Source organism: Homo sapiens, chromosome 5 (assembly GCF_000001405.40).
Source record: "Homo sapiens chromosome 5, GRCh38.p14 Primary Assembly".
Lineage (NCBI taxonomy): Eukaryota > Metazoa > Chordata > Mammalia > Primates > Hominidae > Homo > Homo sapiens.
The window spans coordinates 17,951,117-17,960,616 of NC_000005.10; the positions used below are offsets into that span (position 1 = coordinate 17,951,117).

At 36.8% G+C, this 9,500-nt stretch overlaps 2 annotated features.

The window, feature by feature from the left end:
- Positions 261–839: an enhancer, noted in NCBI's record as "H3K27ac-H3K4me1 hESC enhancer chr5:17951486-17952064 (GRCh37/hg19 assembly coordinates)". NCBI's record gives its function as "activates a minimal SCP1, AML or CMV promoter by ChIP-STARR-seq in naive and primed H9 embryonic stem cells {active_cell/tissue: H9 hESC(naive and primed)}" and the evidence as "EXISTENCE:reporter gene assay evidence [ECO:0000049][PMID:30033119]".
- Positions 840–1,417: an enhancer, noted in NCBI's record as "H3K27ac-H3K4me1 hESC enhancer chr5:17952065-17952642 (GRCh37/hg19 assembly coordinates)". NCBI's record gives its function as "activates a minimal SCP1, AML or CMV promoter by ChIP-STARR-seq in naive and primed H9 embryonic stem cells {active_cell/tissue: H9 hESC(naive and primed)}" and the evidence as "EXISTENCE:reporter gene assay evidence [ECO:0000049][PMID:30033119]".

Here is a 9,500-nt window from a genome sequence, read left to right on the forward strand (position 1 = left end):
AGAATTGTTTTTCTAGTTCCTTCTCATTTGGGTAGACTATGTCAGAGGGAAGATATGGGGCTCAAGCGTTGCTGTTCAGATTCCTTTGTTCCACAGTGTTTCTCCCTTAGGTAGTGCTCTCTCTCTTTCCCTAGGGATGTGGCTTCCTATGAGCCAAACTGCAATGATTGTAATTTCTCTTCTGAATCTGGCCATCCAGCAGAACTACCAGGCTCCAAGCTGGCACTGGCAGGTGCCTGCACAGAGTCCTGTGATGTGAACCATCTTCAGGTCACTCAGCCATGGATAGAAGCATCTGCTCTATCACAGGTGGCAGGGGAGTGAAATGGACTCTGTGAGGGTCCTTAGTTGTCGTTCATTTATTGCACTAGTTTTGTGTTGGTTGGTCTCCTGCCAGGAGGTGGCGCTTTCAGGAGAGCATCAACTCTAGTAGTATAGGGAGGATCAGGTGGTGGGCAGGGCCCTAGAGCTCCCAAAAGATTATGTCATTTGTCTTTGGCTACCAGGACAGGAGAGAAAGACCGTCAGGTGGGGGGAGGGTTAGGCGTGTCTGAGCTCAGATTCTCCTTGGGTGGGACTTGCTGCTGCTGCTGTGGAGAATGGCGGTATTGTTCTTAGGCCAGTGGAGTTATTTTCCCAGGGGGTTTATGGCTGCCTCTGCTGCCTCATGCAGGTCGCCAGGGAAGCAGGGGAAAGCTGGCAGTTACAGGCCTCACCCAGCTCCCGTGCAGCCCAAAAGACTGGTCTCACTCCCACCATGCCCTCTCCCAAGAGCACTGAGTTTATTTCCAGGCAGCCAGGTGAGCAGGGCTGAGAACTTGCCCCAGGCTGCAAGCCTCCCCACTGAGAAAGCAAGCAAGCCTTTCCGGTTTTGCACTTCCCTGCCTGCCTTGGCTTCTGAGCTATGTTTGCACTCCTGATTCACCTCCTCCTCTGAGTTCTGTCCAGGAAACTTCCCATTCAGCCGAAATTGTTACAAAGTTCAGCTGGAAGTTTCCTTTTCCCTGTGGTCTTTTCCCAGTTCCCCTGTGAGCCCTCCCCAAGGACCTCTGCAAGATAAAGTCAGAAATGGCTTCCCTGGGGACTGAGAGAGCCCACAGGGCTCTTTCCACTGCATCTTCGACCCCTATATTTTGCTTGGCTCTCTAAATTTGTCTGATCTCCAGGTAAGGTCAAATTCTCCCATGATCTGGACCTTCAGGTTCCCCAGTGAGGGTTTGTGTTCTGGGGCAGATGATTGATCCGCCTTTCACACTTGGGACACTCAAAGGTTTTCAGCTCTCTCCCGGGTCCTGCAGGAGAAATCTGCTTCCTTCAAAGAGTCTGTGAATTCTCTTGGCTTTCCTGGTATGTTCCTGTGGTAGTTCCTGGAGCAGAAGTTCAGGATGTGAGTCTCCACACACTGCTGTGCTTCTTTAGATTTTCTTCAATGAGGTTTAAGCGAAGGGAAACTTTTGATAAAGTAACCATGTGTCAACATTTGTATTTTAAAGTGATTGCTGACCTTTGTTTATGGTAGAAGTGGTAAAAATTCTGTACTGTATATTACCAGCAGGTAGTAGAAGCAAATGTGAGAACAAACTTCAGTGACATCGACATCATAATTTATAAAAATATGAGAGTTGAGCATGTCAGATATTCTCCAACTGTACCCTTTCACATTCCACTCACATGTGGCCATTGCCTCATAACTGAGAAATGGTCTTTCATTAAATCACCATTGTCATTGCAATCTATTGTAAAATAAATTAATTTAACATCTATTTATTTCTATTTCATCAATATCACTAGAGGAATTTTACCCACAGAAAGAGTCACTCAATTGTTGCAAATTATTATCTCTGTATTTGCATATTTATTTTTGGAAATATGTTTTATTGTGGAATGGAACAATACAATTTCTCTTATTGAATTGCCTTATTGAAGATGAAAATTTTCTAATAAAACTCTAAAACTCTAGTCATTACTGTGTTGTATTCTGATATGTCTATTCTCTCTGCTAGCTGATAATAAATTCTCTATTTTAAATCATTACATAACTTATTTCTTTGGTTGCAAAAGAACAAATACATCTTCATGCTTTTTGAAATTTGGATAAATATTTGACTGTGGAAGGCAAACTCACTCTTTTATAGAAAATAAAGTGTACTCATTATCCATTTTTTCATAACTACAGAATAGGTAACGATTTTGTGTGGCTTCAAGTAAATTTACTGCACTAACAATGGTGGTCTAGGAGCCATTCAAATTTGTAGGAAAAACTTTGCAGCAAGTGCTTAAAATAACAGTGCAGAATATATTTTGTGATTCTGTTATGTGAATATTTCTTTAAGTGGGCAACACGTTGTGATTTATTTTTTATGGGTGCTTTATTAATAGAACTGATTTATACGATTAAGTTTTACCATATAATTCTATAAGAAATTTCTGATAATAGGGGCACTAAACTAATTGCAGTAATTCACAGAATAACTCTTCTATGATATTTATCAAACAAATACATCAGCTGATTTTAACCTCAACATCAATAGACCTCTGAAGAAAAGTGCCCATTATAAGAAGACCAATATTGATATCTCCTATTCTATGAGACAGCTGGGCTGTCACAAATTTCAGAATAAAGCTGGTAATTAGGCAAATAAAACTGCCACGTTCCTTTTTAAATTTGACAACAGTTAGATAGAAGGAATAAAATCAAGTGTTCAAGTAGCACAATAGGGAGACTATAGTTAAAAATAATTTATTGTATTTTTCAAAATACTTAAAAGAGTAAAATTGGAATTTCCTACCAAAAAGAAATGATATGAGCTCTAGATGATGGTTATCCCAATTACCTTGATTTGATTGTTACATGTTGTATGATTGTATCAAAATGTCACATGTGTCCCATAAATATCTACAACTATTATATATCTATAATGATTAAAATTTAAAAATTAAAAAAAATTCCAATGTATGAGATTTACATATTTTAGCGATTTTATGCAGCTTCCTTTTCTTGACACACAACTAGATGTCTTGTTAGAATACTTTGTGTTCAAATAAGATATTGAAATGTTAAACTTTTTTTCTCTTCTTCATTTTGTTTCCCCTTTCTTTCCTCTCAGTTACTTGCATTATAATACAGTATGCCTCAGGGAAACTAAAATATTACAGAAAAACAGAAGATTTTTAAGTACTAAAAATCTAGGACCCCATGGGACTTGGGATATGAAGAACACACGATGAATCTGAACAAGTCTAGATGAAGTTTTCTCAGGTTTGGGGAAGAGAAGAAACAGTCAAAGGAGAAAGGAAGATATCTAAAAACCCAATGCGTCCCTCAAGAGGGTCCTCATACTTTGTATACAACTTCAGAGTTCTAGACAACAAAAGAACAACCCAACCGAAAAAAGTGGGCAAAAGACTTGAATATTCTTTTCTCTACAGAAGATCTATAAACGGTCAACAGATACATAAAAAAATACTTAACATCATTAGTAATCAAGAAATACCACTTCATACCCACTAGGCTGTCTAAAATGAAAAAGACAGAAAATAACAAATGCTGGGAAAGTTGTGGAGAAATTGAAACTCTTACATGTAGCTGGTGAACTTTTAGAATGGTGCAGCCATTTTGGAAAGCATTCTTGGTAGTACTTCAGAATGTTAAATATAGAGTTACCACATGACCTAGCAATTCCACTCTTAAGACTATACCCAAAGTAAATGGAAATTTATATGCATCCAAATCCTTGGACATGAAAGATCACAGTGGCATGATTCATAATGAGCAAAAGATGGAAGAAATTAAAAGTGCTCATCAACTGATGCAATGAGTAAATAAAATATAGTATATCCATACAATTCAATAATATTTGGCAATACAAAGAAATAAAATAGTGATGCATGTTACAATAGGATTGAACCTGGAAAAGTATTATGCTAGAAAAAAATTTAAAAAGAAAATTAGAAATGAAGGAGAAATAAAAAAAAACACTTAAAATAGTGTTAATTCTAGGTGAAAGAGGCAAGTCACAAAACACCACATATAGTATGATTTCATTTATATGAATAATACAGGCAAATTTATAGAGACAGAAAACAGACAACTGGCTGTTAGGGGCTGAAAGAGGGAGGAATGTGGAGTTACTGCAAAAAGGTACAGAATTTTTTTTTTTTTGGAAATGGTGAAATCTTCTAAAATTATAGTTTTAACAACTTTGGGAATATGCTAAAGAGCACTGAATTGTATATTTTAAAAGGATGCATTTTATATGAATTATAACTCATAAACAACAGTCAACTAGAATGAATGCAAGAGTATCTTGAATCACTGAATCTTGAATCATGGTCTATTCTCTTATGGGAGAATTGTGATATGGTTTGGATGTGTGTTTCGCCTCCACATCTCATGTTGAAATATGATCCCCAATGTTGGAGGTGGGGTCTGCTGGAAGGTGTCTGGGCCATGGGGGTGGATACATCATGAATGGGTTGGTGCCTTCCCCATAATAATGAGTTCTCACTCTATTAGTTCAGGCAAGAGCTGGTCATTTAAAGTAGCCTAGCATCTCTGTTGTTCCCTCTCTCACCAGGTGATATGCCTACTCCCCCTTCACCTTCGATCATGATTGTAAACTTCGTGAGGACATCACCAAAGGCTGACATTGGCAACATGCTTCCTGTACAATCTGCAGAACAACGATGGAACAAAATAAACACCTTTTCTTTATAAATTACCCGGCTTCATGTATTCCTTCATAACAATGCAAAGCAGCCTAATACAAATTGTCAGTGAGTAGGCAGATTTTCAGAATGTATGGCTAATTGGAATTTCCATGGTCCTATATGAGAAGAGATTTGAAGTAATTCCATAGAATGTTATGAGCGCCCTGGGAGAAGAAAAAGGGTGATTTTTCAGAAGGAAAAGAGTGTAAGAAAAACATGAAATTCAATTTTCCAATGACAGTTCTGAGAACACTTAAACAAGGAGGGATGTGGGAAGTGATTTTTAAGTCTGTATCTAGAAATAGGGATTTCTAAAATAACTGGATCTTTTTCTGGAGAGATTAAAAAAAATACTAACATTATTCACCAGGCAAGTAAAAGCAACCAAACTAGCATGTTCCTTAATATCTTTAAGTATAATTAATTGAGTACTAGTAGAATGCTATCCCTTCTGACATCCTTTGAACACTAGGATGCCAGGATCCAATGTAACCCTAGAAAACATAGTGATCATCCCAAGAAAGATTATATTTCTAAGGTAACCACTATGGATTCAATGAAACCAAAAGGCATACTTACACTTTTCCAATAGGAAAACTAAACACACCACAATAATTATATGCATAATGAAAATGAGGCTTAGGAGGTTACGGAAAGTGTGCCAAGACTGTATACTATTTATTTATTGACAATTTAAGCAGTAGACTTTAATTCATTTTTTCTCTAGTATTGGAGATTTTCTATGTCCAGAGACAGAAAAATGACTCTGATGAGGAGGAAGTGGTGTGGAATATGGCTAGGACATGGCACCCCCACCAGTTAACCTGAGTCCATTGAGAGCTCCCTCTGAGAAGGGGAATTGTGCCTGCATCCATGTCCACATTTCCTTTGTAGCATTGATGATAATGTGTAGACAACAAAAAGCTTCTTGAAAGAATCAGGGGTGACTCTAGTTCCAGTCTTAAGGGGAGTGCGAACTGTACCTTTATCCAGCCTTATCTACCCATCCATAAAAACTCTGGATATATGATACATGTTTATATCTGTTCATGTTGGAATTGGGGTGGAGCTAATGATATCTACAGAGTCATATACTGATTGGTACGTAAGTAGTAGTATTTTGGAGAAATGAGCTCAGAATATAGTTTCAGAATATAGTACAAGTCCCCAAAGAGATTTTATATACATATTTACTCTATATAATGTATATATATATTTATAAATATATAAATTATCTTGCAACCCGGAGGGAAGCAGAAGTAACAAACAAAATGGTCATACCTGAAGAGGCCTGGCATAAAGGAAAAGAAATATGACAAAGCAGTATTTCTACTTGGACATATGAATAACACAGAAGACGGACATTTCAGAAGATGTGTCTGTAGATAAAAATGGCAGAATCTCAGGTTATAAGGCATGTGTACACACACATACATGCGTATAGAAATCTGTGTTCCCTAAAACTATGTGTGTCCCCTGGTTGTTAGTTCCAACTATAGGAAAATGTATTAGGTAGGGACTTGAAAATAAGTTTCTTCCATGTGATTGGATTGATGCTAAAAATAGAAATACATATAAGAAATATAAACCATAGTCATACTTGAGTTATGAGCTTACATTTGTTCATCTGTAAAAATAGCTTCTTAAGTGAAACAAAAACAAATGACTTCAAGATCTCAATCATGATCTGGTCAGCTTCATGATAGCTGGCATCACTGTGTTGATATTGATACTGTCAAGAACTGTAGTTAAAGTTTTGTTTTGAGAATAACAAGTTTGAGTGTTCGTACTATGGTATTAGAGCTTCTTTTATGTCCATTACATAAGTGAGTTTTTCCATTTTCATTTCCTTTTGTGGGGAAAATCATACAAAAAAAGCAACATTAAAAAATGGTACAGAGGTGGAAAAGAGTTTTGATGTGTGCTCATGGTAACCACTGTAGTAGGAAAGATGACATGAAGATGGGGACTGATGAAAATATCACCTGAAGATGCAGCAGAAATGACACTGTGAAACAGCCATGGCATCTCACTTGATACAAACAACCCAGCACTGCCTTCCTCACTGAGCCTGTGTCTTGTTCATGCAGGTGCAAAACAGCCAGTACTCTTGAGAAGTGCACACTGCACCATCGTGCTCACAGGCTGTCATTTCGATCTTCTGCCCTTGGGGAATTGCATAAACCTTGGATTTCAAATCACTTGTTTAAATGAATTCCAAAATCCTTCCTAATTTGAAAATCTAGGGAAGTAGACCTTATCATTAAATTGACACTGACTTTTGTTGTACCTGAAATTTGAATTATTGCTAGATCAATTTTTACTTTGATAAAAAATATGATGATATTTACTTTTCCAAGTTTTCTTTTTCTTTTTTCTATAAAGCTGTTGAGAAAATCATTGCATATATGCTCTAGTTAGGGGAAACCTTTCTATTTTATTGACTCTTACAAGTGTCAAGATGAGAGCAATAGTTTCATCTTATGGCATGATAGCAGTAGTTTCATTAGGTTTTTATAAAAAGAAGTATAGTGATTCAATTTATCAAAACCTAACATGGAAAACTAAAAATATGTTGTTGAAATGATTACCAGGAAGGATTTTTGGCTTCATCTCTCAGAGGTAAAGAGCTTAAAAGTCTTCACTTCATTATTAAAACAAGAAAAACCCAGAAAAACTAAAAATCAATGATTTTTTTCAGATCCACCAAAGAATTGAAATTGTAGTCCAAACCAGCACTCCAAAATCTGGAAAGACAGGTGCATCCAGAGGGGCACTGCTGAGATTGACTAACCAGGAACAAATTTTGCTTGAGCCACAAACTCATAAAAACATGAAAATAGTAATTTTGACCGATTGCTGGAAGCTGAGTACGGACTAGTGTGAGTGTGAGGACCTCCTGTAGGCCCCAGTCTTAAGGGTCTTTCACCTTTTCATAGGCTTTGCCTCAAAGAACCTTACTAGGTTCTCATGATGAAGAGCTATTTATCTCAATCTCATCAAGGAAGAATATCCTTAGTTAAACCTGGATTTCATATGCATGCTTATGTTTGCAATTAATTTCTTTATACTGAAATTTTGAAGAAACAATTGCAAATATACCAATGACTTCCTTCACTCTTCGGTTAATTGCACAATTTTGGCATAAAGTTTTAGGCATAAACGTTTTGAACAGTATCCTTACCTTTCTACCTACCTAATTAGTAAAACATATCAAAATATATCTTTAAATGAATTGATTTCAAACAAGTAGAACAGAAGAGGCAAAATTGCAAGTTTAGATATAAAGATTTTCTTGTTATTTACCTAGTGTTTTCATTCCCAGATGTCAAGCAAAGAAGTGGAGTTATAAATTTCTCGACTAGATAAACCTACAACAGCTTAGAATACATTTGTTTTAAAATGTGATTAAATTATTATAATAAAGTTCTCATAACTCTAGGACAAAACTACTATCTTTGTACAAGGTATACATTTTTTCCTTATGAGAAGAAATGGTAAGATTCCTGAAACACTTTAATTATATAAGGATAACTTTTTTGGGAGGCCGAGGTGGGTGGATCACCTGAAGTCAGGAGTTTGAGACCTGGCCAATGTGGTGAAACCCTGTCTCTACTAAAAATACAAAAATTAGCCGGGCGTGGTGGTGGGCGCCTGTAATCCCAGCTACTTGGGAGGCTGAGGCAGGAGAATCGCTTGAACCTGGGAGGTGGAGGTTGCAGTGAACTGAGATCATGCCACTCCACTCCAGCCTGGGCAACAAGAGCAAATCTCCGTCTCAAAAAAAAAAAAAAAAAAAAAAAAAAAAAAAAAAAAAAAAAAGGCAAAAAAGGCTATTTTTGTAGTTTCACAGGGTTTTTGTTTAAAAAATCTTAATCAGTCAAATCTTCTGAGCTATTGGATTTAAATAAAAACTAAACAGAATATATGTTTTATTGTCAACCCAGTAATAGCACAGTGCATGATGTCTTGTGGTTCTAAGCTTATCTGATGCTGTTATAATTTTAGATCACTCAGTATAGTCTCAACTAAACAAAAATGGAAATGGGTTATTTAGGTCATTTGGTAGTGTCATAAAATAAAGTTTTATCCACTATCTTTGATTAACTTCATGGAAAGTTTTCAGGAAGAGGTCTTAAAAAGCCTCTTTTAGAGCTGTGGCTTACCTTTCTAAGTAAGGAAAGCAAACCATTTCCGTTAGGGCCATCGATCAATGAATAAGCAGCTTGGTTCCAATTGGAAAGCTGCAGCTGCATTGTCAGATAGGAGCAGTTATTAACCCGTCCCTCAGCAGAATGTGTTATTTCCATTACTTTCATCTCTCCTGATGAGCAGATAAATTGATAGAAAAAAATGAGTTGAACAAAATAGAGCTGAAGGTGATGTATTTGCAGGGCCCCAAGGTGTAAATGAAATTCCTAACAGCTTCCATTGTACCTGAACATAGTAGAGCAAAACTAAGTCAAAGGAACAAAAACTGCTTAAGTGTGACAATATGGCACCATTCATGTTCATTCTGGATTACAAAAGCTAAGCACAAAGGAAAAGGGGCTATAGACCCTGCCCTCAAGGAGTTTACAGCTGTGAAAACAGAAGGAAAGGAAAATAAAATGTAAGAGTGTCATATGTTTAGTGACAACAGTCAACCCATAGTGTCTGAAAGTACACTAGCAAGGAACTTTGTCCATAATATTAGGGCCAGGAAGACTTCTTGTATTGAGTCTTTAAGGATGCATCAGTGTTAGACAAATGAATGAAAAGGAAAAGGGGGAAAGAGCATTTTATGTAGA